Source organism: Homo sapiens, chromosome 17 (genome assembly GCF_000001405.40).
Source record: "Homo sapiens chromosome 17, GRCh38.p14 Primary Assembly".
NCBI classification, from domain to species: domain Eukaryota; kingdom Metazoa; phylum Chordata; class Mammalia; order Primates; family Hominidae; genus Homo; species Homo sapiens.
Window position 1 is genome coordinate 40,305,414 of NC_000017.11, and position 27,361 is coordinate 40,332,774.

Here is a 27,361-nt window from a genome sequence, read left to right on the forward strand (position 1 = left end):
TAAGTGTCCCTTTGAATATACATCAAGCCAGGTGTGGTGGCTCATGCCTGTAATGCCAACACTTTGGGAGGAGGCAGCAGCGGGAGGATTACTTGAAGTCAGGAGCTTGAGACCAGCTTGGGCAATATAGTGAGACCCCCTTACCCTTCTCTACCAAAAAAATCTTAAAAATCAGCTGGGCATGGTGGCATGCACCTGTAGTCCTAGCTACTTGGGAAGCTGAGATGGGAGGATGCTTTGAGCCCAGGAGTTCAACTCGGCATGGGCTATGATCACACCACTGCATTACATCCTGGGTGACAGAGCGAGACCCTGTCTCTATAAAAGACAGAAAGCAGATACACCAATAAGAATGAGAAGTTGGGAATAAGATGTGATTTAGGTTTTATATATATATTATATACATATTATATATATTTTATATATATAATGTATATTATATATAATATACATATTATATATTATATACATATTATTTATATATATATATATATATATTTTTTTTTTAGATGGTGTCTTGCTCTGTCACCCAGGCTGGAGCAGTGGCGCGATCTCTGTTCACTGCAAGCTCCGCCTCCCGGGTTCACACCATTCTCCTGCCTCATCCTGAGTAGCTGGGATTACAGGCACCCGCCACCATGCCCGGCTAATTTTTTTGTATTTTTAGTAAAGATGGGGTTTCACTGTGTTAGCCAGGATGATCTCGATCTCTTGACCTCGTGATCCGCCCGCCTCGGCCTCCCAAAGTGCTGGGATTAGAGGCTTGAGCCACCATGCCTGGCCGGTTATATATTTTTTAAATATCTTGAGACGTGTTACCTTGACTGCTGAGGGAGGACAAAAGAGATCCAAGATTGAAATTTTATTTACATTTGTATCTGTGCCTAGCAATTAGTATAGTGCCTAATACCTGGTAGGTACTCAATAGTTGTTTAACAGATAAGTGAACCAAATAAGATACTGCCTTTCCCTCAGTGGTGAGAACAGTTCTAAGCTGAAGGTAAACGTTGGTGGTACTTTTGCACAGAGGTGGAGCAGGCCCCTGCATAAGAAGGGTGCTCTGTCTTACAAAATGTGTCTTGGCACAGTTTTGGAGCATTTATTAGCCTCACAGATGCATTCCAATCACTCCCTCTGATGTAGTGGCATTTTGCTTGAGGCAACTTCCATGTTGCTGGTGGGACGCTTTGGCTATGAGGGGAAGAGTCTTATCTACAGGCTGTGAAGAGGGCTGCCTGTCTGGATGTCACTCAGTGTGGCTAGATTGGCCAGAAGCTGGGTCTGTAGGCAAGGGTTTAGGGAGGAGCCCACCTTTGATGTCCCTCTTTTTAACTTGGGGCAAGTTGTGATCTCAGGTTCTTCCTGAAAAGATAAGGTACTTTCTAAGATACCTTCTCTTAAGCTACAAACAGTGCAGGTCTTCCTCTTAGAAGAGGTGTGTTCCGTAAGGGGAGAAGGTGTGCCCTCTGGCCTCCCCTTGATTTTCAACCCCAGCCCCAAGGCACTGGTAGTGGAAGTTAATTGGGTGCAAGGGGCTTGGGTAAAGGCTGAAGACTGGTGAAAGGAGAGAGCCAGCTTCGTTTTTTAAAAAGCTCTAATTGAGTTCTGAATCAGCCTCACTCCCTTTGATCCCTCCTCTGTTTCCCACACTGCCTGAAAGAGCTAGATCAGCACTTTATAACAAGGGTGCGCCTGCTCCCCGCACCGCCCCCCGCTCCTGACGCTCTCTGCTGCCGCCATCCACTGCTTGTCTCCTTCAGTTAAGATAATGAAGATGCTGAGAGATAAAATGTGTATTTAATAAGGGTGGGGGTAGGGAGGCGGAAAGGGGCAACCAGGGCCTTCCCTAGTTTGGGGCCTCGCCAAGACTTAAGCTGAAAGCAAAGCTAGAGTAAGACTTGGCCCCAGGGTGTGGGGGTTTCTGGGCCTCAATCCAGCTGACTTCACTGCCTGCTGTTTGCCCTAAATTCCCCCACCTCCACCCTCTCACCCCCACACTGCTTTCTTCTTGCTCCCAATGGGAAAAAGGACTCTTGCTTCAACTTTCTTTTCAGCTGGTAACTTGGCCTTTGGTGCGGTGCCCCCCACCCCAGTGTCAGCTGCAAGGTCGGGCTAGGGCAGCCCCCTCTAGCCTAGGCCTGTAGAAGCTGTGGGTTCACAGTGGGGGGTGAAAAAGCTGGAGTTAATGAAGACCAGCTGCTAGTCTGGGTTCTGCCTACAGCTAGCTGGAGGCCAGCCTTTGGTGGTGGTTGATGGGGGGGTGGGGTGACCTCCATCCATGGGCACAAGGATATCCTGTGGCAGCTAGGCTTGTGCTTCTCTCTGAGCTTAGTTTTATCCTTAGTTTATAAGAGAGTATCTGTTTCCTTCCCCTACTCCTCTCCTCCCCAAATAACACTCAGCTCTTATTGAACTTTATAACTGTAGTGGTGGCCCAGCTGAGATCTGAGGATCTCCAAACCCTTTTGTAAACACTCATTAACTGCCTGGGAAGAACGAAGAGCCCTGTTTAACAGCTGGGAGAGAACTGAGGCACATTAGGGTGAAAGGTTTGACCTAAACTCACCCCATGGACTCCACCCTGGGGCCTTCCATCCTTAGTCCAGCTCCTTTACTCAGTTCTTCCTGCAAGACAGAGGTGGAGGCATTGCTGGTGTCTTCTCCCCTTCTAGGGAGAGGCCATGCCCTCTCCCCTCAAGTCTGTCGCTGACTTCCTCTGGCCCTTCCCCTCATGACGTTTTCCCTGCTCTGCTGCTAGAGATATGTGCAACTCTCCTTGCAAAATGTTCTCAATCCACAACTTCAGAATTCTTATCCAGCTTTCTCTTGCCCATCTAGCCCACCAAACCTGAATTCTCCCTTTTGAGCTACTGAGAAGACTGGCTATACTAAACTGAATCAGTGACCTTGAAGTTGATCTGTTGTATTGAGGTCCCTCTGCCCCTATATTTATCCTAAATGGTATCTAGGAAAATATTCTCTCTTTAACTTGTTTATTCTGGTCATAAAGATTCGGGACATTACTGAGGGCTGGGTAGGGGCACTAGTTGACCTCTAGGTTCTACGTCCTGTTCTTCCACTGACAATTACCATTTCCAGTAATAGGTGTAACCCAAAGTTCTTTTTTGTTTTTTTCTCCTTCCCTAACCCCACCTGTTTATACTCTTGCCTATATATGTGTATTTGCAGACCCCACACATTCCCAGATACACATACATTGGTCCTACATGTTTCCCCTGTTTCCAGCTGCCATCTAAGTGAGCCTGCACTTTTTACATGCTGAAAATCTTTTTTCACCCTCTATGGCCTCCTAGGTCCTTGGGAATAATTGGGAGGGATGAAGGGACTCCTGCAGTCCATGAGGAAGAGGACAGAAGTGAGCGCCCAACCAAAATGAATGCTCCCTTTCCAAAATCTCTAGCTGAATGCCTTAGCAGGAGTGGCAGGGAAAGAGATCTTAACCCCACCTCCAGCACCAAAACCTAAATCCATCTGCTCAGGGCAGGCAGGAAGAAATGTCTATTTTCTCCTGTTTCAGGTCATCCTATCCTCGAGTTATCCATATGCTGTGTATTTGAGACAGGGAACTGTTCCTGTCCCCAGCCGATGACCAGACGCCCATCTTTCTTCCAGTGGGTTACTTCTCCCCCATCAGTCCTTCGCTCTGCGCCCGCTGACCCAGTCGGGGCTGGCTGGTGGAAGAGGGCGGGGAGAGCCTTCTAGTTGGCGAGTGGGCTTTAGGACCCAACGGGAACCCGTGCCTCTTGCAGCAGCCTAACCCAGAAGCAGGGGGGAATCCTGAATCGAGCTGAGAGGGCTTCCCCGGTTCTCCTGGGAACCCCATCGGCCCCCTGCCAGCACACACCTGAGCAGGTAGGACCATGCACACCCCTTCCCAATTCTTTGGCCGCCTTTGACCCCGGCCTCTGCTTCTGATCTAGCCATTTCCTTCTCGCCAGTTCTGGCTTTCCCCATCCCTCCTCTCCCGTCGCTCACTGTAGTCCTGGGAGGTGGGAGCCTGGGAACAGTGGGGTGTCTGAAAGCTCAGAGCCCTCTGCACCCTCCAGCACCCTTCCTGCATTTCTCCTGAGGCAGTTCCCGTTCTCTAGATAAGAGTGGGGAGTAGGGGGAAGGTCTGCCCAGGCCCCACGCCCTTGCACCCTCCTTTGCGGTATTGCCTAATACCCCTTCCCCCACCTCACCTAGACTGGAGAATTGGCAAGTGCTGAGGTAACAGAGAGAGGAGAGAGCCAGAGAGGGACCTGAGCTTTCCCAAGGGATTTCTTTCTTGCTTCCTCACCCAAAGAGCTCAGGACTTTGCCCCTACTCCCTACACACCTTGTAGGGGAACTAATGTCCCCTTCCAGGTTCATCTCACACTTGGGTGGCTAAAGGCTTTGCTAGAGGGTAGTGGAGGTTGTGAGCATTTTGGTGAGCTTTTCCTCTAGGAAAGTTCTTTCAGCTTAGAGCCCCCATCCATGTCAACATTTCAACACCTGCTGCAGAAGCCCCCCGACCCCACCTGTGTGTGTGTGTGTGTAGGGACAATGTGGTTGTAAGATCTAGAAGCTTTGGATAGAGGTGGCTGCATGCATTGAAGGGGAGGGATACCAGAGTGTGGCCCAGGCCAGAACAGGCTCAGTCCAGATGGCTAGGGAAGGGGGTGTGGACCAGATTGAGGAGGTCACCCAGCCTTGCCAGCTCCCTGAGCTTCTTGGCTTTCAGAATCTCAGGCTCCTGGTGTTTCTCTAGAGCTACAAGGTCCCCAAGCTTCTGCCCCGCTACAGGCTCTCTGGGAGAGGGCTAGATGGCACCTACTGTTTACAGTGGCTTATTTTTCTCTCCTGTGGTGGGCAGACAGGCCCTGCTCTCTGAAGATCTAGGGCGTGTCATTCTGGTTTGGTGGGTTTACAGGAAGGGTGTACACCTTGTCTGACTTACCATGTGTGAGTGTGTGTCTTGCTTCTGGGGGTAGTAGACTGGGGAGGGGGGTGATAGAAGAGACTGGTCACACTGAGGGAACTCCTCTAGCAATCAATGTATGATAGGAATGGGTGGCATGTCCCCATCTGGTAGCTCTGTCTAGGTGTGGGGTGTGCTCTGCATTCTTCCATGGCTCCCCGGGTCCCCTAAAGGTTGGTTTTAGAGGACAGGGTGGATAATGAATTGGCTTCAGACTTCGTTCTGGTCTTGATCCAACAAGGAAAGTAGAGATTCTGACTGTGAGCAGTGAACTAGGAATCAGAGGCCTGAACTGGAGACTTAGACTGGTTACTTAACTATATGTGTTTATATAGGTCTTCCCCTTTGCTAAGCCTTAGTTTCTCCATTTGTAAAAATGGCTATCAGTAGCAAGCAGGGACATTGCCACTAAAACCACAGAGACAATGTATCGTAAAGCTCACTGCAAACGGTAGTAATGGCTGGGGGAATCTAGGATGGAATCCTCTTCCTAAATCTAGGTCAATCTCTCCGCCTTTAGTTTTCTTCCCCCATCCTTTGCCCATCTGGGGGATGGAGGAACTAGGCAGGGCTATTGCCCCGGTTACTGCAGAATTCCCCTAATGCAGGTTGTAGCTGTTACCAGAGCACCTGTGGTCACAGAGTACAGATCTCTCCACCAGGCATTTCTTCCTCTGGGGCCCCATACTTGCTCCCCTGAGCCATGTCTCCACCTTCCTTCTGCCATCCCTGCTTGGCGTCCTTGTCTCTCTCTCCCCTGCCCAGTGGCCTCCTTGTCTGGCTCACTGGGCAGGAGCCCTAATCGGATTCGACAGCTGAGATATGTGTGGCGGCTAAGAGCAGGCAGGAGGGAAGCCAGTGGGAGGATGGTATGAGGACTGCCCCTGGCACTGCCCCGGCCTCCCAAGCACCACCTTGGGCCTGCTGATTTCTTACTTGGCTTGGCCCCAAGGAAGGGGTGCCAGAGGAAGCTCAGGAATGAACAGGCTGGGGTCTGGAGACTAGGAGAGGAGGAAACACACCAAGGTCCTCAGGACCTGGTTGATATTCGATGACCTTAATGTCAGTGTCACTGACTCTGACAAGGAGGAAAGGACAGCGATGAGCCAGGCTGACCCCCGCCACCCCATTCCCATAGCCCCACTTTCTTCTCTCTTCTTGTTCAGAAATGTTTCACTTTGCCTCATCTAGCCCCTTTGGCCAGTAGGTCACATCTGGGAGCTTCTGGGGGTGCCACATGTCTGCCTCAATCTGGGCTGTTTCCTCCCCTCCAAGATATTTCACTGTCTCTGGGCTGGGCGCCAGGACTCCTGGGTTTCCCTGCCTGTGGTGCAGGGCTCCCCTGCAGGGCTCCAGAGAGTCGCTTAGCTGGTTTCCTTCCTCCTTTGTGGGGAGGGCCTTCCCCTAGGGCTGGGAGGTGTCAGGAATCCCAGGTGGGACAGGGGTGGGGGCACAGTAGCCTCTGGCACTGTAGCACCCCAGCTTCTCCCTCCTAGCCTCTGACTCAGCTTGGGGGCAGCACATGCCCAGCCTGGCAGGCATGGCCTATTCTTGCCTCCAGGCTTCTCTCTTTACAGAAGCCTACATCTCCTGCTCTCATTTTTTAGTTTTTTTCCCCATGATATCTGCAGGTGGCTAGTGAAATCCCTGGTTTTGGGGAGCAAGGGACTAACATAATTGAGGCTGGGGCACTATTTTGTCTTCCCTCCAGTTGGGCCAGGATGAAGGAGACTGTCACAAACTTCCCCAAGCCAATTCCTTCTGCCCTCAAAAGACCAGTCAGTGGAGCCAGGCCCTGCCCTTTGGGTGCCCACAATGTGGTTGGCACTGATTTGTCAGAAATTGGGAAGGTTTCCCTCTAGACCGCTTGCCTCCTTTCTCCTCCTCCCGCAGGGTAGGGGCAGCTCTGTGATTGCAGGCACTTATGGGCAGGCCTCCCCCTAGGAAAGGGGTGTGGGATGCCCCCAGGATGGCCAAGTTGGCGCTAGCCCCAGGCTGGAGTGCTGGACATGATTCTGACCTGGGAGTTAGTGGGGGTAAGGCAGGGCATGGGCCTCCCTGCCCCCCTCATTTCCTGCTCTTTGGGCAGCTGTGGGCGAGAAAGGCTGCAGGGACTATTTTTAGTTGGTCAGTCCCCTGGCAGGAGGGACGTGCAGAAAAGCACGGGGCAGGCAGAGGGGCTGGCCAAGGTGAGGGTAAGCAGGCAGGCAGAGGAGTGAGGAAGGGCCAGAGGGGCAGAAGACAGCAAGGAGGCATGGGGAGCAGGGGCAGGACCTTACCCAGAGGGGCATGACCCAGGTAGATGGGCCGGGCTGGACTGGGTGGAAGAGTCCTGGCACCCTACAGGGTTTTCTTTATCCAGCTGGACTCAGAGCTGGAAGGGGTTTTAGAGGCTACCTAGGCAATCCCTTCCCCTTGCAGAGAAGGAAACTGAGGCCTAGAGAGAACACTCAATCAGTCATTGGCTGTGTTGAGACCTGAACCCAGGCCCTCCCTTTGCACCATTTTTCTGTTGTCATGGTTCCTCACCACAGCTCAGTGTGCTTCCCTTCCCTACTGCAGCAAGGAGGACCACGAGCCAGGCACACCTGGTCCATTTTCCCATCTGCTTTTTTGTGCAGGGTCTCTGAAAATCCCAGCTTGGTTTGTTTATAAGTCTCCATGTGGAAAGAGTCTGTGTCCAGGCTAGAAGGAGGTCAGAGTTGGGTTTGTTTGGGTGGCCTGTGGCCACTGGTGTGAATGGAGCTGCTGGACAGGCTCCAGCAGGCTCACAGGCTGGTGAGCTGTGGGGCTAGGAGACACCTTACAGAAGGGACGTCCAGACTCCCCAGAGCCCTTTGTGAGCCCTCCTCCTGCCCTGCCCAGGACCTGTGGGTCATGGTGGTTGTTTGCCCATCTCCCCAACAAAAGAAGGGAGCAGGGCTGAGGAGTGGGGAGATTACTACTGGCTTCTGATCGCTAGTCAGAAGGAGGCCCCCTCTGAGGCCTGGAGGCAGGGAAAGTTGGGGCAAGTTGGGGTGTGTATGGGGAGAAAACTCAATGGAGAATTGTGGTCCCTCAGAATTCAGTCTGCTTTCTGTCTTCTGCCTCAGGCTCTCCCCACAGGCCACCATGCTGCACAGCTGCAGGGGGAACCATTCCATAGACTATGATGTGAATGGCACCCCCTGGGGTTGTTCAAGGCCCTGCCTGTGTAGCCACACGTGGTGCATCTGTCTCCCACCTTCTTCCTTCAAATTAGTTCAGACCCACCTGGAAGGAGGTGTTCCAGACAGGCCTTAATCCAACACCCTCTCCCCTACCCTGCCTCATGCCACTCAACATCTCCTATTCCTCTGCTGCCCACCCCCAACGCACCAAGCAAGTCATGGTGCACCACCAATTGTGGTTCAGAAGCCCCTCCCCTTCTCTCTACGCAGTTTCTGTGTCTCTTGGGGGCTGATTTATCATACCCCCCATCAAGCCTACTGCAGTGTGTGAGAAATCAATAGTGCAAATGGATTGAGGCTGTTTAGCCTGTCAACTCTCCTTGGGCCCCACCAACTCTTCTGGGACTTGCGGAGTTGCTCAGTCCCCTTCTGGCTCAACATACACATATTTAGTGGTTGTAGCCAGAGCACTGAGCACAGGAATTATTCTTTCTGTTGGTCTCTGTCTCATTCTCTCTCATATACTAGGCTGGTCTTAACATGACAAATACTCTTGAACATTTATTTTCTAGCTTGGGTGGACGGGCTTAAAGGGCAGTAGGCTGCCAGCCAGAGGTAGGGAGGGAGGCAGGTGGGTGAGGGATATGGCGGGTGGAGGGGTGGGGTGGGGGTGGGGACGAGCTGGGGAAGGGATTGGGTGACAGCCCACCCCATCAGCTCTGGTAACTCAATCCCTGCACCCCACCCTCCCAATTTCCCTCCTGCTCAACAACTTCAGCAGCTGCTGGCAGAAGCAAGGCTGGCAGAAGTGTGTTTGAGTGCATGTGTATATGAGGGGAGAGGGTGAGAGGGGCTGTGGGGGCAGGGAGTGCTGCCAGGACATGTTAAAGGAGACTCACAGCCTGGGTACAACTTGGGTGGCAGGAGGAGGTGGGGCAGGTGGGAGAGTGGGTGGTGAGTGATGGGCAGGCTGCAGTGGGGGCAGGGCAGCACAGGGGTCTCACAAAACTTGTTGGCACTGGAGCGGGGCCTGGTGTGGTGGGGGTGGGCAGTGGTGAGGGGGCAGGGGCTGGCACAGACATTGCTGGCCCCAGAATGCTGAGGCCCATTCTTTGCCAGGGGGCGCATGTAACCATGGAGGGACAGTCTGCCCCTGTCTGCAATCCTTGGGCTGTGCCTGCTGGGCATCACAGTCTTGGTGGTGACTAAGTCACTTCTGTCCTGGGGCTGGCAAGGTGCCAGGCTCAGCTCTTCTCGGTAGGTGAGTCACTGCCCTGGCATCTCCCCCGGATGCAGCTGAGTCACCCAGCCATGCCTGCTAGGCAGGTGGGCACCAGGCTTGTGGTGGGGGTGGAGGGCTATGTGTGCAGCCCCCAGTGTCTTCTCTGATCTCTCTCTGGCATGTCCTGGCCCCACCCATAAACCTGCAGAGCCAGGCAAGGATGGCGCTTCTCCCTTGTGATCCACTAAGGGGTGAAGGAAAAGGTAGCAGGGCACAGAGTGGAGTCATACATGTTTGATTTGGAGTAAGTAGGGGAGGAAAGAGTTGAGGAGGGAACATTGATTGGGTTATATGTATATATATATATATATATATGCTTATATGTGTATATATATATATATATATATATATATATATATATATATACACACACACACACACACACACACGTATATATTTATTTATTTTAACAAAAAAGACACAGGGTCTTGCTATGTTGCCCAGACAGGTCTTGAACTCCTGGAGTCAAGCAACTCCTGGCGTCCCATCTTGGCCTCCCAAAGTGCTAGAATTAAAGGTGTGAGCCACCATACCTGGCCTGGGTTTGAATCCCAGCCCTGCCATTGACAAGCTGTATGACGTTGAGGAAGGCAATTTTCTTTTTGAGCCTCAGTTTTTTCATCTCTACAATGGCAACAGGAGCCTGCCCCTTCAGGACTGTGAGAATCAAATGGAGTGGGACTATTAAGGTACTTGTGGGAGGAGCTCCTTTTGGGATGAGCTAGGAGGCTTGGGAGGGGAAGAGGAGTCAGCTGGAGCTGGTTCCAACAAACTCCCGCACCATGGTCTTGGAGGGCCAATTGCTTCTCATCATCTCTTCGGAGTATCACTTAATGCTGTTCTTCAGGAGTTTCCACAGGCTGTGAGAAGACAGCCTTGTTGTACTAGAAGTGTGGGCCCTCCTAGGGTGTCTCAGAGCTATATTTTATCTCTTTTGACTACTGAGAACTGCCACTGGCCCTGGTACCTGTCCAGACTCTCTTCCTTCACTTCCTCTAGTTTGAAGAGGGATGGGGCTCAGACTCCTCCCCCAGCCTATCTCCTGTGTGCAGGGAAACAGTAGGCCCCAAGGAGTGTCCTTCTTAGAGTGAGGCGCCCCGAGCCTGTGGCTTTTCTCTCTCTGCTAGTTTCCTGCTGCTCCCTGGGTACCCTTCTCTCCTCCTGCATCAGAGTCCCTGGTGGGAGGGGGTGGTGGAAGCCCTGTTATGAGCCCAGCATAGCTGGAGTTCAACTGCTGCTGCAGATTGAAGACTCCTGGTCCCCCACCTGGGGACCTCTCCTGCCTTCTGCAGTCAAGCTTGGGTAGGGCTGGGCCTTGGACAGGTGGTACTGGTTTCCCTGGACAGGAAGGAAATGCCCCAAAGATGTGCATGCTTTGTGTTTGTACACACGGGTGCTGGTCTTGTTTGAGTGTCTGACCCCTGCGGGGGGTGGGTTTGTGTGTATGAATTTCTTCCCTCATCCACACATGGGGCTACTTCTGTGTCTGTGCAGAAGTGTGCCCCACCCTCTGCTTCATGCCCTTGTCTGTGCACAAATGTGTTTGGATGTACTTGTTCATGCGTGGATGTGCATACATGCGTCGGGGATGTACACATCCCTGCCCTGAATGTGCACGTGGAAATGCATTTGTACCAGGATGCCTGACCCTATGATGGCAGGTGTACCTGAAGGTCGTCCCACTTGGGAGGCAGTGTAGCTGTGTGCATGCATGCTTGCATTCTTGTGTCCATGAGCCTTCCCCTCCAGCCTCAAGGAAGGAAGACAGGTAGGATCTAGGTTGGGAGGTGTCCGTGGGCACTAGGGGCGGGCTGGCGCTGACTCCAGTCCTGGGCTGGTTCTCACCTGGGCAGAGCTCCCTGCTGTTGGCGGGGCTCAGGCTGGAAGGCCCTTGGGGGAGCGCGGCTGGGGGGTAAGGGGTTAAGCGGTGGCGTCCACATCTGGGAGCCATTGGCGCATTCCTGCCGGCTGAGCGCATGTTTGCGGATGAATCTGGACAGGACAGGGCGGGAGGGGCTGGGCGGGAGGTTCGCACCGGCGGACGGAAATCCAGACGGGAGCGGGAGACAGCTCCGGCCCAGCAGGCGGGAAGGGGCCTGGGGAAGCGCGGCCCAGCACTGCTGGGGCAGTTTCCCGTGCGCCGGCCCTCAGGGCAAAGGGTCCCGCCATCCTGGCTTGTCCTACCTTACCATGGCTCTTGGGCTAAAGCCAGGGACAATCAGATACTTCAATTCTAGACCCGGCTCTGCAACCGGTGCGACTGTGCACAAAACCCAGTGCCTGCTCTTGGACTCTCTTTCCTTGTTTGTAAAGCGGGGTCCGTCGGACCAGTGGGTTTGAGAGCTCTGCCACCGGGTCAGGCTGAGAGTCTCCTCACTGGGCTGGAGGCCTGGGAGTGCAGCACTTCCCCTTCCAGTGGGAAGTTCTGTGGGGGCACTTGTGGCCACTTCTCTGCCTGGGAACAGGGCGAGAGGGGAGTATTCTAAGCAATTCTGCTTCCCCCTAAGCCCGCCAGTGGACTGCTAGCGATGGGGACAGGATCCTCCCAAACAGAGCTGCAGGCTGGGAGGGGGGTCATGACTGTATTGGGGACTGGGGGTCTCTCAGATGGAGGGTGATTCAGATCCTGTCCAGCTGGAACATGAAAAAGAGCTTTCCTGGCTTCTCCAGACTTGTTCGGGAGAGAGAAGCTTGAGTGTGAGTCTTTGAGCACGGAGGGGTGCTCCTGGGCGCCCCTACTGGAAGATCCAAAAGTCTTGCCCTTTGAGGAGAAGAGTACTTTAAGGGGGCTGGGAGGGTTGGGTTGAGCCAGGGTTCCTAGGACCCACTGGAGCTGCAGAGGTGTTTGGGGAAAGAAGAGATATACTTGCGGGAGATCTACTCCTGGACTCTTTTTTTTTTTTTCTTTTTCTTGCAGCTGAGATAATTAAGATCCAGGGAAGGGAAGTGACTTGGTCAAGGTCACACAGCTCTCAGTTCCAGCTGGTCCCTAGAAGAGGATTATAATTATAGGATTCAGGGGCTTGACAGCTAGGGCAGGAGTCACCGCACTCACTTCCATATTACGCCGCCGCCTCACTTCTCAGATTTAGGTGTGGGTGTGTGTGTGGTTGGGGGGAAAGGAGTGTAGGATACCACACGCTGCGGTCTTCTCCACCGAGCGCTATTTTCATTCTTTCCGCAGAACCTCACCCCGTTCTTGCTCTGAATCTTCGGTTCTGGGTCTGAGGGAGGGATTCTCCCGGATTCCCACGGTCCAGTCTTCAACTAGGAGTGGCTCCTTTAAGACTCGCCCTTCCCGAGGTCTATTAAGGAGAGGCGGGGGCGGGCGTGAGCCTGTAGATCCGCCCCTGACTGGTGATTGGTCGGTGGGCGGGCAGGGGCGGGCCTGAGGGACAGGGCCTCCCCCTACCTCTGCTCCGTACCCTCCGCCCCTTCAGTCTGGGGCTCCGGGTAAAGTTTCAGCCTCCGCACGTGACTCGCTATGGCCGCTGCCATCGCCCCGCGCCCCTGAGCCGCGGCCCCCTGGACGGCTCCTCTCCCGGGACCCCGCACCCTGATGCCGAGCAGCACCAGGGCGCCGGGTTAGGGCAGACGCTGTGCTCGCTGGCACCCCGAACGGGTTGCTTCCCCCGCTGCGAGGTAATTCCTCCCCTGGGGATTTTGGGGAGCCCCTGGTTCCCGCAGGCGTCGGGGCCCCATGTCCTGCCCCAGATTGGTGCTGCGGGAGGGGACTGGGTACCGGGAGGCTTCCGACGGGAACCCGGGGTTTCCTGGGCTTCCCAACTCGCTGCCGCCGTGTCCAGGGTGGGGGAGCCCCGTCTGTGAGTCTGCCTGCGCCGTGTCTTCGCGCGCAGCCTTGAGGCGTCTGGGGCCGTCTGCTGCGCGTGTCCCCCGCGCTCGAGCTGTTGCAGAACCGCCGCTGGGAACTTCTGTTCTTTTTCTCTTTAATGATAAGCAAAACAAAAAGACTTGAATTCAAACCTGTTTGGGGAGAGATCGGATGCTCAACGGACTAGCCCCCTCTCTTTTTCCCTCCTGTTATCTGAGCTGCCCTGTGGTTTGGGGAGAATCAGCCAGGGGGCCCACTCCCACCAGAGGGAGCCGGCCGGGGGCCGGGCCGGTTCAGCTGGTGTCCCCCGTGGAGTGAGGGGAACCGTCAGAATTGGGTGCGGGAGCCAATGCAGTATGTGTGTAGGGGTGTTCCTGGGTCTTGTGCCACCATGGGGTGTGGGAACTTTTTGGGGTGAGGGGAAGACGGAATAGACTGACTTGTCGACTTTGCTCTGCTGAGGGTGTCTGGGACCTGGTGCCACCCACGAGGCTTGGAAGCTGCTGGCCAGATGTGTGTGTGAGCCTGTTGTGGGGTTGGGGGGACGGCTGGGAAATGAGCTTGGCTATGTCCCCTCATCTCCTCTCTGGGCACTGGCCTATTGTCAGGCTGCTCCTTGCGAAAGGAAAGACAGGCCTCCAGTGTGCTAGGGTGGGGATGGGGACCAACTAACCCGGAAACCAGACAGAAGAGCTCCCCAGCCTTGGAGATGTTTCTGCACCCTCCATCCTGTCTTGGATCAGATGCCCAGTGTGATGGCCTGGAAGGGTACCTCCTGCCCCCTCTGGCTCTGTCTTCTGTAACCAGGTTGCCTTCTGTCTGATGGCTGTGTGCACATATGTGTATGTAGATATTCTTGGAAAGGATTGTTTCTGAGAACACCCCCCGACCCCCCCACCCCCTGCTGCTTACCCCAAGGATCACTTCTGCCCCTGACACTCCCCCTCCTCAGTTTCCTGGCCAAGACATTCTGGGATGTCTCTTATACCCTTCTCTGGTTGCAGTCTTCATAGGGCAAGATTGTTTTGGGGGAAGTGGTTCTGTAAGGACCTTCCAGGTCTTGCTAGGAAATTGGACCTCAGGCCCCAAACTCTCCTACAGGGCTCCATGAAGAGGCTGTGCCGGGGAAGCCCCGGGTTGGAGTGGGGGTGGCTTGGAGCCTTGGGGCTTCCCCTGGAGGGGGCCGGGGGGGGCGGGTAGAGATGAGGCTGGGGGAAGGAACAAGAGAAAAAATATTTGGAGTTGGTTGTATGATGCTTCTTCCTGGAGGAATAAGAGGGGGTGGTTGTGGAGTCAGGGAGTTTGTGGCTGTGAAAAATGGTATGCTGGAGGGAGCTGGGACATCAGTACTGCCTGGGAGTCTGGACCATGTGGTGTCCTGAAAGAGAGGTCAGGAGGGTCAGACTGGAGTAGCCTCTTGGGAGCTGAGGATCTTGGATTTGCAAGGATTTTGAGGGTGTGATTGAGTGTATATGAGGTGTCACTGCAGGGGTTTCACCATCAGACTGGCGACGGTGGCACAGATGCAGTGGCAGTTCTGAGAAGATCCTGGGGTTGAAATGGCTTAATCCTGGCCACATCCTCCTTCCTATAGCCCCTAAATCTCTATCCCTTCAGTCTGACCCTAAATGCACCGGCTGCCACCCTGGGACACCTTTTTAGTCCCCTTCCTACTCCCAACCTTGAGGCAGCCTGGCAGGAAGCCAGCTGTGGGCAGCCCCATCCTGATCACCCATGTGCCTCCCCCGCTGGGCACAGTCACCCACACATGCCATGACGTGGTTCCTGCCACCCCATCTAAGTATGGGGGAGAGGACATTGTCTGAGTGGCCCCTCAGGTCTGTTTTGGGGACATTCACCCAGACCCCAGCTAATGCGCGCCCCTTCCCCTAAACCATTTAGTCTTGGAAGCTGACTCTGCCCTCTGGGACCTTTTCTTCCAGGCCACTCCTTGCTCAGACTCCAGTCTCAGGTGGGATGGTCCTCAGAACCGTGTGATGTGACGGTGGGGCCTGTCCCAAAATACAAACCCCAATGCCCAGTTTCCAGTCCTCTTGGAAGCATGGGCAGGACAGGACTTAGGCTAGGCTGGAGGGGTGGTTTCTTTTGACCTCTGTGGGGTCTATTAATATTTGGGAGCACTGCCTGGGATCTGGGGTGATAGGCATCTGGGGATGGTAATCCTGTCCCTGCGACAAATAAGCGGGGTAATCTCCGCTTGCTCAGTACCCACACCCATCTTGTGTCGGTAGTTTTGGGAGTGTGGGAAGCTGGCAGGGCCCCTGGCAAGATGACCAGTGTTGTCTTGACTTACTGGGTTTTGGGAAAGGAGTATGGCAACTGATACCCCGGCTCCCAGGGCTTTGGCTGAACATTCTCTCTGACGCCTGCTGTCTTTCCTCCCTCTACTCCCCTCTCCACCCTCTGGCTGCTGTCTGGAGCCCACACAGTTTGTGGGGGGATGCACGGTGGGGGGCAGGGCCTGGATCTCCGTGTGTGTCCAGGGAGTATTCTGGGAATTGGCAGGATTGGCTGAGGGTGTCTTGGTGTCCCCGCAGGGTGGGCGGCATGTGGGGACCTAGTGTGAGAATGTGTCAGCGTTGGTGTGTCTGTCCCCAGTCTGGCTCGGGTGTGGGTGTCTCGGGTGTGGGTGTCTCTTGCTTCGTCTGGATCTTGCCTCCCGCTCCAGTCCCGCCCTCCCCTCGCTCCCCCCTAGCTGGGACCGCCTGCTTGCTTTCCCTCTCTCCCCACAACTGGAGCCTCCCTTGCCTGTTCCTGGAATTTGGAGAGGAGGAGGAGGAGGAAGAGGCAGGCAGACAGACCTCCCACACTCTAGCCCGCCCACCTGGCATCATGGGGAAATGAAATAGGTGCTATGGAACTACATTTTCCCTGGCTTCCCTAGACCCTCCAGCACACATCATGAGGGCCAGGGGCCAGCTCTTATGGAAAGGCCATGGGCTGTCCATCCCTCTGGCCAGTGACACCTCCTTCTACTTAACATCCTGCCCCAAAGGGCCCCTGCTGGACCTCCAGGCACCACTGTCAGCCTGGGGAGCCGGTGGGGGGATTAGGCTGCTGCCAGGCTGGCCCGCACCTGTTGCCAACCCCAGCCCTATAACTGGAGCTTGCTAGGGAGGGGGCTGCAGAATGACAGGTGTAATTTCTGCAGCTAGGCAACTCCACCCCCCCAACTGGATATGCCTTTCCCTTCTGCCGGAACAAGGGAAGACTTCCCCTTCGCCACTCCAAGTGTCAACCTGATCTTATGGATGATGCCCCTGTCCTGCCTGATGACCCCCACCCCCATCCCTGGCTGCAGAGCTGGGCTGCCCTCCTTCAAGTTTTCAGAGCTGTGCTGCCCTGGCAGGGCTAGGGGTGTGGGGGTGTGTAGATGGGGGTGGTTCTCTGTTAATGTTTTAATTGCCTAAAAACTGGGAGCTCAGCTCTGGGCCAGTGGGGAGTCTGGGTCTGGCTGGCCGCCCGGTTTGGGCTAAATATAGTCTGGGACATCTGCAGAGAAGGGGAGGGGGGTGGAGGGAGGTTCCATTCCCCCACCTTCAGCCAAGGTGCCCTCGTCTGGGCGGGCACCTTGGAGCAGTGAGGGGGATTCCTCAAGCACAAAAGGCAGGGGAGAAGTGGCAGGGAAGAGGTGGCAGGGGAGAGGTGGCAGGGGCTAGGCACAGTTGGGACCTTGCTTGCCTGGAGGCCAGTAGATGCCGGAGATGAACCTGGAGGCTCAGGACAGGGCAAGAGTGGGGCACGCCGGGGCTGGGTCCTCTGGCTGTTCCCTCTCCCCACAGAGTTACTTGAGGTCAGGCAGTCTCCATGTGTCACTGTACCCCGCAGGCAGTGTCACCGTGACCCACTCGCTGTGTGTCTGTGTGTACACACCTACCTTGGAGTGGCTTTATCCCGGCCCTCCCCCCGGAGCCTCTGTCCCCTGGGTCCTACCGCAGGTCCTCAGCCCTCCTTCCCTCTGTCCCTCGCCCTACAGTGAAACCTTCAGCCCAGGAATCGAGACTTGAGAAGGGGAAGCTGCGGTGGGGAGTTCTCTGATCTCCAGTCACGGCAGGAAGTGGAAAAGAGGGGGGTTAAGGGGGGGACCCATGAGTGGCAGGCAGGGAGGGAGAGCCCTGTCAGTCCTGTGACCCACTGTGCAGATCAAGGAGGGGTTGGCCCCCTTCCTAGTGGTCCCCCTTCCCTCCAGCTCCAGGTAGGAGAAACCTGGGGGACAGCTGATTCCCCAGGGGGTGCAAACAATCTTCATCACCCCCCCAACACTAAGAAAAAAAATGTCTTCCTGTCACGTGGCTGTCACTTCCTGTCCCACTGTGGTTCCTGGGATGTTTGTTGTTGGTTGCCATGGTGATGTCTGCCGTGGGCACTACCCCTGGTTCTTGTGGGGAAGGAGCTACCCCTCCCCACCAGGCTGGGGGGGTACTTGGGGGACTTGACTAGGGGGTCCTTTCAGGCTGAGTGTGTGTGGTCTCTGATGCCCCAGATTCCCCAGGACCCCCCAGACTTCTGTCTGTGGGGAGGAGTCACTGCCACCTACTCAGACTGAGTGCTGGGGAGACTGTGACCGCATCTGGCTGTGCCTGACCGTGGCTGTGACTTTGTGAGTCTGACTGATTTTGCAGCCCTTGTCCCCTCTGGCCGGGGTTCCTCTCGCTCATAGAGATGCCCATTCAGGGAACCTCTGTGCTCCCTATCTGTCCTCATATACAGTTCTGGAGCCTGCTCCCATCCTGTGTTCTGATGGAAACCACCTTCCCCAGGGAGTTTCTGTGGCTTCCTGGACTCCAGGCTGGAGTGTCAAGGGGCTGTGGGGCAGGGTCCTAGGTTGCATGTGTTTGGGGCTGGGGAGGTGGGGGCTCTGCAGACTATGCCTTCCCCTGCACACACAGCCTGCACCCGCTTCTCCCTTGTCTGGCAGGCGCTCTTCTCTAAGGGGAAGGCCATGGGGATCTGTGACCTATTATCCCTATCCACCTGTGGGCTTCCCTGTTCAGCTGGGGATGGTGAGGGGAAGAGATTCCCCCTAGTTCTAGCCCCAACTGAGTAGGCGGGTGTGGAGTAGGAAGTTGCTTGGGGGGGGGTCAATGGGTCGGAGGGGGGGTATGGGGCAGGGCACAGTCTGACTCAGGCCTGGTCTGGGGTCAGAGCCAAAAGGATATCCTGAGGCAGGACTTGGTGGGGGGGTGTATTCCTGGATTCCCTGCAGCGTGGGTCCCCAGGGTGGGATGCTGAGAGGGGGCTGGTACCATCTAGTCCTGCTGGCAGTTTGCCCTGGGACTCAGAATATGGCATACGCAGGGTTGGGCTGAGCTGAGGGGAGGGGTGAGGGCTGCTGCAGCCTATCTCCCCACCCTGGCCCTGCCTGTATCTCTGTAAGCTGTCCCCCCATTGTGAGAGAGCTGTGCTTCCTGCTTGGTAGCATGGAGGGGAGGTAGTGGTGAGGGGGCAGCTGCCAAGGTGTGAGGGTGGGGAAAGCCCCGTGCCAGGCTGGATGTGAGGTCGGTGGTTTCCAAGCTAGGGGGTCCCCTTTTGTCTGTGCCCCTTTGGTCCCTCACCCAACAGAGCTGCCTGCGTATGGTCCACACATTTCTGTGGTCTGGCTGTGGCCTCAGTAGGCTCATCTCTTCCTCTTCCCATTTTTTTTTTCCTTCCCTGTGGGTTGGTCCCTCTTCTTGAGGCCTGAATTACCCCCTGCCCTTTCACCTACTCGTTGCTTGGAGTAGGGAGGCTTCAGTTCTGGTTCTACGTGGACCTCTCAGACACCCTGGGCTTCAGAGGTCCTGACCATGTCCCCCGGGGGATCTGGGGTATGGCCCCTGGGGATGGAGGAGTTGGGAGCACAGCCCTGACCAGCAGAGACCCCCACTTCCTCCTCCTAGAACCTGGACTGCCCCGAGCTTGGATTGTCCAGTCACCCTTTCTGCCTGGTATCCAGTCACTGGTGAGATTATGGCGTGTGGGGGTCCTGCAGCTCTGTGTAGCTGGGGAAAAACCCTGGGCTGAGTGGAGTACAAGCTGTGGAGACATTGGACCTATTCTTTTGGGACAAGGCACTGTGTCTTGAGGCAATGGGCAGTGGTAGCACCCGGAAGTGAGACACTAGGCTTCCTCCTTCCCCTAACTCCCAAGAGGACATGCTTATGGCCTGCACTGACTAGGGCAGATTTTCAAACCAGTCCTAGCTCTAGCAAGGCTGGCCTGGGGTTCTGTGGGGTTGGTGGGGAAGAGGCACCCTCCAGCTATCCCAGCCACCCTCAGGTGATCCTTCTCCAGCCCTCCTAGGGAAGCCTCTTTTAAAATGAGGCTGGGCTGGCCGGGCGTGGTGGCTCACGCCTGTAATCCCAGCACTTTGGGAGGCCGAGGCGGGCAGATCACCGTGTCAGGAGTTTGAGACCAGCCTGGTGAACATGGTGAAACCCCATCTCTACTAAAAATACAAAAATTAGCTGGGCGTGGTGGCAGGTGCCTGTAACCCCAGCTACTAGGGAGGATGAGGCAGGAGAATCGCTTGAACCCGGGAGGCGGAGGTTGCAGTGAGCCGAGATTGCGCCATTGCACTCCAGCATGTGTGACAGGGTGAGACTCCATCTCAAAAATAAATAAATAAATAAATAAATAAATAAATAAATAAATAAATAAAAAGAGGCTGGGCTAACCTGGCTTCCTGCAGCCCAGACCCTGGTGAACAGACAGGAAACAGAGGACCCGAGTGGCCGGATTGTAGGCTTGCCAGGGAGGAGAGGGGTGAGAGCCTTGGCCAGAGGGGACCCTTGAAAAAGCGGGGAGTAGTCATCACTGCTCCCCAACCCCTGTCTGCAGATATGAGGGGCGCTGGGGAGGGGAGAGGTTGTGGCTTTGTATGTATGGGAGTGTGTTTTCCTGGAAAGTTTCTAAATGGTTCTAGTTTTGAATCTACTCTGTTCTGCCCTGCTTGGCCAGCTCCTGGCGGGACAGGGGTCCAAAGGCGGCAGGGCTTTGTTTCTGCCAGGGCTAGAGTCCCTCCTGCCCAAGTTGAGCTTGAGCTCTGGGTGTCATTTGCATATGATTCACTAACTGTCTAGAATGCTTAGGAAACCCCCAGTCTCCCCTTCTTTTAAGCTCCCCAATACTTTTCCCCTTCTCTCAGCCCCTCTGAGACTGCCTGACCTCTATTTCTTGGGAACCGTTGTTTTGGGGGAGACTGGAGAACAGAGAGAATGAATGAGGAAGAGAGGTTGGGGCCAGTCCCGGCTGAGTTTGGGGTCCCCTGCTCTTCTGTCCTGAGTATAAGGGAGGAAATGGTCTATTTCTCTTCCCCTTCTCCCCTCCCTAAATCCAAAGGTTTCCCTTTTTTGGTTTGTGAAATGAAAGAAGGGAATTTGGGAATGGGTTGTGGTCAGGCCTCCACCCACACCCCGAATATCCCTTTCCCCACATCCCTCTCCTCCATCCGAGGGAAGCAGACCCTGGGAAATGGGTAATTCTCCCTCCTGGCCCCGTCAACAGATGTTGCCCTGGGTGGGGTGAGGCAAGGGAAAGCAGGCCGACTGCTGAGGGGCACCAAGGTGGTGGCAAGAGGCATGGGGATGGAGGGCTCCAGTTGCCCGGGCCTCCCCTGTGCCAAGCTCTGGTCTGGGTGCTTTCCAGGACTTCCTGTCTGAAATCGCACAGCTCGTTGTTGAGGTAGGCAGTTCACAGGCGAGTAAACAGATGCTTAGAGAGGTTAAGTGACTTGCGTAAGGTCACCCAGAGTGGCAGAGCTGAGATTTGACCCTTCCGACTTCTGGTTCTTTCTCCCATCTTCGTGGCTCAGAAAGCTCTCACCTTTTTCTCTAGGTGTGTGACTCTGGGGTGTAACGCGTGGGCAGCTAGGGATGCTGATGCTGGAGAAGGGATCCTGGCACCTTCTGAGGGTGAGAGCGGCCCCAGTGGGCAGGAGTGTGGGGCTGGTTGCAGGTGCTCTAGCCCCCTACCCCTTTTTCTGCTGTGCTTAGGCTAGGCTCCATATATTGGAGGTGTGGGCCTGTGGTTTTCTCTCTCTCAGGGGAGGGTGCCCGTGGGCAGTGGAGGTGGCTGGCATAGGGTGGAGGTTGGATGTGGGTAGTTTGTTTTCCCTCTCTTTGGTACTGGTTTCGATTCTCTGCCGAGGCCTTCTCCACCCCTGGGGTGTAGGGGGCTGGGGCCCAGGTGTCTCTCTGAGGGTCATAGCTTCTGATGGACCTTCTGAGGCAGAGTCTGTGCCCTTTTGGGCCCACCCTGGTCATCCCTACCCTTGCCCATCCCTGTTCTCTGGTCTTTCTGGCCCTTGGCCTATTTCTGTGACCTTTAGCCCTCCTGCGGCTCAAGGCCCTCCCCAGGGAGCTGAGTAAATTTGCACTGAAATTTGCAGGCAGAGCTGGGTTAGGCTTTTTGGAGGCTCTGATAGGGGTCTGGGGAGGCCTTCCAGCCTTGCCCTGTAGTGTGTGTGGGTGGTGGGCTGGGGGTGAGGTGGGGGTAGTGGGGATTGAAGTTTGATTCAATTTCAAACTCCACTGGGGCAGAGTTGAGGTGGCTGTGGTTTTCTCTTCTCTGGGAGCAAGGGTGGGTTCCAGAGGGTCCAGGCTGGACTGACTAAACTGGCCTCCCGACCCCCAAAGGCTGGGTCAGGATGCCTGAGATCTGGAGTGATGGCTTTCTGGGCCTCAGCGTGGGTTACAGAGGCCTCACTTTGGGTTAGCTGCCCCTTGGGCCTCACCTTGAGAGAGGCAGGCCTCTGTGGATGTGAATTCACCTGAGTGTTTGTGGACCTGGTGCATGGGCTGGGCCCACAGGGAGGACCTCAGAGCATCTTCTGGCAGAAGCAGCAGGTACAAGGGCCACCCTGGCTGTGTGAGGTTCGGAGAATGTACAGTTTGGGAGACTGTGGGGCTGTGGTTGTGTCTTTGGGGAGCTGTGTACTGGGGCCCATGCATGCAGTTTCTGAGCTGTGTTCATTGTGTGGTGGAGCCCAGGTGTGGAGAGATGGTATCTCCAGGTTCCTTCTCCTCACATGCATGCCTGCACACACACAGGCTGGGGCTGCAGGCGTGCTCTTGCCCACCCAGATGTTTTCTGTAGACCTGCATGCATGAGTTTGTATGTGTATTTGTGTGTGAGGGTCCAACTGTAGGAACTGATGAGGTTCTGCCAGCCTCTTCTTCCCTTGCATGGCTCCCCCAGCTCCAGTTCCCGTTGTGTGGGGCCCCACAGGAGTTGGGAGGGGGCCAGGGCGGCAACTGGTCCAGTGGGTGGGGCCCCTGTTCCTCTGACATCAGCCCTCTCAGCCTAGGAGGGAATTGGCAGGGGCCTGGGGTAGGAAGGGAGCTCTTTATTCAGGAGTGAGGAGAGAGGCCCTATGATTGTCATAATGAGTAACAGTAAAAATCGTGGTTATTAGCAAGGTCCAGATTTTACTCCTGGGGCAGCCTCCCCTCCCTAGCCCAGTACCTGTCCCCTCCCACCCTCTCTCCCTCAGTTCCACACAGGCTGGCTGGCTCAGCTGGGCCAGAATTCCTGGCCTCTTCCACAGTGGCCTTGGCAGGAACTCCCCCTTCCCAGGCCTGGTCTTCAACCAAATGCTGGCCATGTGCTTGTCCCCTGGACTCCAGATTTGAGGCTAGAGTCTGGAGTTCAGAGCTTGGAACCTAGTGTAGCCTGAGCTTGGGGTGGAGTGGCAAGGTATAGGGGGTGTTGGAAATGGACAGTCCTTATTTTGAGTCTCTGTGGCCCTGTTTCTTTTCTTTCTTTCCTCTTCTTTTTAAAACAGCTTTATTGAGATATAATTCACATACCATAAAATTTACCCATTAAAGTGTACAATTCAGTGGTTTTAGTATATTCAGAGTTGTGCAACTACCACCACAATCAATTTTAGAACACTTTCATCACCCCAGAAAGAGCCCCCATACCCAGCAACAGTCACTTCCCATATTCCTCAAATCCACGCCCCAGCTCCTGGTAACCACAAGTCTGCTTTCTGTCTCTATAAATGTGCCTATCCTGGATATTTCATATAAATGGAATCCTACAATACATGGTCTTTGTAACCGGTATAATGTTTTCAAGGAATATCCATATCATAGTATCAGTACTTCATTCTTTTTTTGGCAGAATAATGTTCCATTGTAGGGACATACAACATTTTATTTATTCGTCAGTTGATGGACTTTTGGGTTGATTCCACTTTTTGACTATTAGGAATAACGCTGCTGTGAATGTTCATGTATAAGTCTTTCTGTGGACTTACGTTGTCATATCTCTTGGGTAGATACCTAGGAGTAGAATTGCTGGGTCATATGCCATCGCTGTGTTTAACCTTTTGAGGAACTGCCAAACTGTTTTCCAAAACAGCTATTCTATTTTACATTCCCACCAGCAATATATGAGGATTCCAATTTCTCCACATCCTCGCCAGTACTTGTTATTATCTGTCTTTCTTATTAGAGCTAGCCTAGTGGGTATGAAGTGGTATCTCATTGTGCTTTTTTTTTTTTTGAGATGGAGTCTCACTCTGTTGCCCAGGCTGAAGTGCAGTGACACAATCTCGGCTCACTGCCTCCCAGGTTCAAGCAATTCTCGTGCATCAGCCTCCTGAGTAGCTGGGATTACAGGCATGTGCCACCACGCCTGGATAACTTTTGTATTTGTGTGTGTGTTTTTTTTTTTTTGGAGACGGAGTCTTGCTCTGTTACCCATGCTGGAGTGCAATGGTGTGATCTCAGCTCACTGCAACCTCCACCTCCCTGGTTCAAGCGATTCTCCTGCCTCAGCCTCCCAAGTAGCTGGGATTACAGGCACCTGCCACCATGCGCAGCTAATTTTTTAGTAGATTTTTGTATTTTTTAGTAGAGATGGGGTTTCGGCATGTTGGTCAGGCTGGTCTCAAACTCCTGACCTCAGGTGATCCACCTGCCTCAGCCTCCCAAAGTGCTGGGATTATAGGTGTGAGCCACCGCACCCAACTGACTTTCGTATTTTTAGTAGAGACAGGATTTTGCCATGTTGGCCAGGCTGGTCTTGAACTCCTGACTTAGGTGATCTACCTGCCTTAGCCTCCCAAAGTGGTGGGATTACAGGCGTGAGCCACCGCCCCCAGCCTCATTGTGCTTTTGATTGGCCATGTTTCTTTTTGTCTGTCTCTTTTCTTTTGTCTTTCATATATGTATTTTTCATATATAAATACATGCATATGTATTTATATATAACCTGTACCCAAAATGGATTTGAAACATCCTCTTGTCCTCGTATGGATATGTTCTTCGTGTTCTCTCTCTTTGCTCTTGTTGCTGCCTATCTGTCTCACTGTGTTATGGAATCTCTGGGTTCATCTCTGTCTCTGTCTCTACCCCATGGTATTATCTGTGCATATCCTCTGGTGCCAGCTGTTCAAACAGGGTGTGGATCTGTATTCACACTGGTGAAGGGGGCATCTGGCCTTTCATCTTCTGCCCACCTCCCACCCCAGTTCATGTGTTTTGCTTCTGCAGACAGAAGTATGTGGGTGAACCTTGAGATCAATCTCTCCTTCATTGCCTGGGGGTAGGAGGCTTCCTGGGCGGTCCTTGCCCTCCTACACATCGCCTACCCCTGGACCATCCATGCTGTTAAGCATTGGAGGTGATACCTAGGAGTCCTTGGTTCCCATTTTCCTATTAGTGTGTACGTAAATGGGCCTCCTCCCAGGGCCTGTGGGACAAACCCGTCTGGGGTGCTGGGGCTTGGATCTGGGGGGGAAGTGGTGTAAGAGGGGCCCCCTGGCTTAGGAGTCATTTTTCTGAGAAGTGCCAATGCTTTAGGGAAGCGGCTTTTCCTCCCCCTCCCTCTTCCCCCCCAGCACACGTTCTCTGCATCTTGACCTCAGGTAACCCTCACTGGGGGAAGGAGGGCCAGCTGCCCGTTTCTGCTGCAGTGATCCCTTGAGGTGGCACTGTGGACCCTTTCCCCTCAGGACTGTGGGTGAGAGGCCCTCCAAGGTTCTGGGCTCTGTCCCTGTCTCCCCAGCCTGGCTGTGCTATCTGCCACCCCCAGCAGTGTCTGGGCCCTGCTTCCAGGTCATCTCTGCCAGCCAGGCATGGTGCCAGCTGTCTGCTCAGCTGGGTGCCACGGGAAAATCTCCGGCAGCCCAGGTTGGGGAGCTCCACGGGGAATGCCTGTGTGCCTGTTCTTCAGTGCCCACTCACCTGTCTTTCTTTTTTCTGCAGCATCACAGGACATGGCCCCCTCAGCCACCTAGCTGGGGCCCATCTAGGAGTGGCATCTTTTTTGGTGCCCTGAAGGCCAGCTCTGGACCTTCCCAGGAAAAGTGCCAGCTCACAGAACTGCTTGACCAAAGGACCGGCTCTTGAGACATCCCCCAACCCACCTGGCCCCCAGCTAGGGTGGGGGCTCCAGGAGACTGAGATTAGCCTGCCCTCTTTGGACAGCAGCTCCAGGACAGGGCGGGTGGGCTGACCACCCAAACCCCATCTGGGCCCAGGCCCCATGCCCCGAGGAGGGGTGGTCTGAAGCCCACCAGAGCCCCCTGCCAGACTGTCTGCCTCCCTTCTGACTGTGGCCGCTTGGCATGGCCAGCAACAGCAGCTCCTGCCCGACACCTGGGGGCGGGCACCTCAATGGGTACCCGGTGCCTCCCTACGCCTTCTTCTTCCCCCCTATGCTGGGTGGACTCTCCCCGCCAGGCGCTCTGACCACTCTCCAGCACCAGCTTCCAGTTAGTGGATATAGCACACCATCCCCAGCCAGTAAGTCTGGGTGTGGGGGCTGGGGTGGGAAGGGACTGTGGAGGGTGGCAGGCCTCAGAGCTTGGGCTCTGGGCACGTCTGTTCTGCTGTGAGTGGAAGGCACGGTGAGCGACAAGGTCTTCTCCAGTTGGGGTGACCATCATTTGAGGTCTTAAAAATGAAAGCCCTATGGCCTATAGGCTGATCATGGTGGTTGTGTTTGAAGTTGGGGGTGGCAGAGGGGGAGATGAAACCATGCTGTTCTGGCCTGCAGTGGCCCTCGCACCCCTCTTCTGTGCTCTGCTGTTGGGGCCTTATAAATAGCTCCAAGGACTGGACACACAGGTTGGAGGTGGGTAAACAAACCTCTTGACATTTGATGGAAATGGCAGCTCTACCTAGAGTGAGAGCAGCACACCACCTACGCCCCACCCCCACTCAGTGCCTCTGAGGGAAAGGGCTTGAAGGAGCAGACCGAGGAAGGCTGGCTGGAACCCCACCTCTCCCCCTGCCAGCTCCACCCCCGGCCATGCTAGGATGTGCTTCCCTTTGTGGGGAGGATGAGAGGGAGGGGCCCACGGTCTAGCTGGGTGGATAGGGTGAGTGTCCCAGGAGGGGACACTTGGCCTGGACTCTGGCCTCGGACGCATGCATGGTCTTGGCAGGGCCTGTGTTTTCCTTGCCTCCACCCTCTGCCATGGAGGTCACTTGTTGGCTGGGCAGGGGTCTCAGTACCCTTCGCCGGCTGGCCGAGCCAGGTAGTGGGAGGTGGCGGCAGCTCTGGCCAGCTGGCAGAGTCCAGGGCTGGGGCCTGCCAGGCCGCTTACAGTAACTCTGGCCCCCAGGGCCCAGCTGGGCGCCAGGCCAGGGCTGGGGGGAGGAGGGAGCCGGGGCCTGGCCTGGGACGGGAGAGGGTGGAAGCAGCAGAATGGGCCATGGGCTGCTGGCTGGCCGGCTGGTCAGCTGCTGACCTGGGAAACGTGTCCCCACCTCTCCTGGCCAGCAGGGACTGCACACCTTGCCCTGTGCACCCACCACCCCTCTCACGGCTGCTGGCAAGCTGCCTGGCACCACTGCCCTATGTGCCTGGCTGGGCTGGGTCAGTGCCCCCTTCTCAGTGTGGGGGCAGCGCTCTCTCCCCGGAGCCAGGGAGTCTCTTTGTCCCTGGGGCAGGCCCTGGCTGGGCGCCTCACTGCCCGCACTGGCTGGGTGCCCACCACCACCACTGCTTCCTGGATCGCCTCCTCTGGCTTAGCTGTGGCCCCCTCCCTCCCAGGCTCCACCAGCCACCAGGAGCAGGGACTCTATGTCTGTGTTTCTTTGTGTTCCCCGCCCTTTATGCCCTGGGGCCAGGGGGCAGGCAGGTGCTGCCTCAGTTTCTCCTGCCACCCCTTATCAA

At 55.2% G+C, this 27,361-nt stretch overlaps 1 protein-coding gene and 1 long non-coding RNA gene across 12 annotated transcripts in view, besides 12 other annotated features; one reads left to right on the forward strand and one right to left on the reverse strand.

The window, feature by feature from the left end:
- Positions 3,194 to 4,079: an enhancer, noted in NCBI's record as "H3K4me1 hESC enhancer chr17:38464859-38465744 (GRCh37/hg19 assembly coordinates)". NCBI's record gives its function as "activates a minimal SCP1, AML or CMV promoter by ChIP-STARR-seq in primed H9 embryonic stem cells {active_cell/tissue: H9 hESC(primed)}" and the evidence as "EXISTENCE:reporter gene assay evidence [ECO:0000049][PMID:30033119]".
- Positions 3,459 to 3,628: an enhancer, noted in NCBI's record as "active region_12138". NCBI's record gives its function as "activates an Ori minimal core promoter by ATAC-STARR-seq in GM12878 lymphoblastoid cells {active_cell/tissue: GM12878}" and the evidence as "EXISTENCE:reporter gene assay evidence [ECO:0000049][PMID:35858748]".
- Positions 3,639 to 3,768: an enhancer, noted in NCBI's record as "active region_12139". NCBI's record gives its function as "activates an Ori minimal core promoter by ATAC-STARR-seq in GM12878 lymphoblastoid cells {active_cell/tissue: GM12878}" and the evidence as "EXISTENCE:reporter gene assay evidence [ECO:0000049][PMID:35858748]".
- RARA (retinoic acid receptor alpha) overlaps positions 3,767 to 27,361 on the forward strand; it is a 48,464-nt gene continuing 24,869 nt past the window's right edge. For 2 of the 9 annotated variants that reach the window (NM_001145301.3, NM_001145302.3), the window contains exons 1-2: positions 12,832 to 13,035; positions 25,444 to 25,983. In NM_001145301.3, the coding sequence (NP_001138773.1) occupies positions 25,806 to 25,983 (178 nt within the window). In that variant the 5' untranslated portion in view covers positions 12,832 to 13,035; positions 25,444 to 25,805. Of the gene's footprint in view, positions 3,874 to 12,831; positions 13,036 to 15,049; positions 17,847 to 18,799; positions 19,188 to 20,365; positions 22,072 to 25,138; positions 25,199 to 25,443; positions 25,984 to 27,361 lie in introns of those variants that run through there. The other 7 variants (XM_011525095.2, XM_047436507.1, NM_000964.4 and 4 more) reach the window with 7 other exon arrangements.
- Positions 4,080 to 4,963: an enhancer, noted in NCBI's record as "H3K4me1 hESC enhancer chr17:38465745-38466628 (GRCh37/hg19 assembly coordinates)". NCBI's record gives its function as "activates a minimal SCP1, AML or CMV promoter by ChIP-STARR-seq in primed H9 embryonic stem cells {active_cell/tissue: H9 hESC(primed)}" and the evidence as "EXISTENCE:reporter gene assay evidence [ECO:0000049][PMID:30033119]".
- Positions 6,553 to 7,053: an enhancer, noted in NCBI's record as "H3K4me1 hESC enhancer chr17:38468218-38468718 (GRCh37/hg19 assembly coordinates)". NCBI's record gives its function as "activates a minimal SCP1, AML or CMV promoter by ChIP-STARR-seq in naive H9 embryonic stem cells {active_cell/tissue: H9 hESC(naive)}" and the evidence as "EXISTENCE:reporter gene assay evidence [ECO:0000049][PMID:30033119]".
- LOC105371934 (uncharacterized) lies at positions 9,780 to 17,111 on the reverse strand. Of its 3 annotated transcripts, NR_189653.1 has the most exons (4): positions 16,919 to 17,111; positions 13,136 to 13,338; positions 12,586 to 12,698; positions 9,780 to 12,382 (listed from the first exon to the last, which is right to left on the reverse strand). It is a non-coding gene; the product is annotated as an uncharacterized LOC105371934 (long non-coding RNA). The 3 variants fall into 3 exon arrangements; NR_189652.1 differs by having other exon boundaries at positions 9,780 to 13,338; positions 16,928 to 17,111; NR_189654.1 differs by having other exon boundaries at positions 9,780 to 13,338.
- Positions 12,077 to 12,286: a silencer, noted in NCBI's record as "fragment chr17:38473742-38473951 (GRCh37/hg19 assembly coordinates)". NCBI's record gives its function as "represses an EF-1alpha promoter that drives an FKBP-Casp9 reporter gene in an ReSE screen in K562 erythroleukemia cells {active_cell/tissue: K562}" and the evidence as "EXISTENCE:reporter gene assay evidence [ECO:0000049][PMID:32094911]".
- Positions 12,652 to 12,761: a silencer, noted in NCBI's record as "silent region_8484". NCBI's record gives its function as "represses an Ori minimal core promoter by ATAC-STARR-seq in GM12878 lymphoblastoid cells {active_cell/tissue: GM12878}" and the evidence as "EXISTENCE:reporter gene assay evidence [ECO:0000049][PMID:35858748]".
- Positions 14,373 to 14,422: an enhancer, noted in NCBI's record as "active region_12140". NCBI's record gives its function as "activates an Ori minimal core promoter by ATAC-STARR-seq in GM12878 lymphoblastoid cells {active_cell/tissue: GM12878}" and the evidence as "EXISTENCE:reporter gene assay evidence [ECO:0000049][PMID:35858748]".
- Positions 14,893 to 14,942: an enhancer, noted in NCBI's record as "active region_12141". NCBI's record gives its function as "activates an Ori minimal core promoter by ATAC-STARR-seq in GM12878 lymphoblastoid cells {active_cell/tissue: GM12878}" and the evidence as "EXISTENCE:reporter gene assay evidence [ECO:0000049][PMID:35858748]".
- Positions 15,638 to 16,222: an enhancer, noted in NCBI's record as "H3K4me1 hESC enhancer chr17:38477303-38477887 (GRCh37/hg19 assembly coordinates)". NCBI's record gives its function as "activates a minimal SCP1, AML or CMV promoter by ChIP-STARR-seq in primed H9 embryonic stem cells {active_cell/tissue: H9 hESC(primed)}" and the evidence as "EXISTENCE:reporter gene assay evidence [ECO:0000049][PMID:30033119]".
- Positions 19,719 to 19,788: an enhancer, noted in NCBI's record as "active region_12142". NCBI's record gives its function as "activates an Ori minimal core promoter by ATAC-STARR-seq in GM12878 lymphoblastoid cells {active_cell/tissue: GM12878}" and the evidence as "EXISTENCE:reporter gene assay evidence [ECO:0000049][PMID:35858748]".
- Positions 20,825 to 20,884: an enhancer, noted in NCBI's record as "active region_12143". NCBI's record gives its function as "activates an Ori minimal core promoter by ATAC-STARR-seq in GM12878 lymphoblastoid cells {active_cell/tissue: GM12878}" and the evidence as "EXISTENCE:reporter gene assay evidence [ECO:0000049][PMID:35858748]".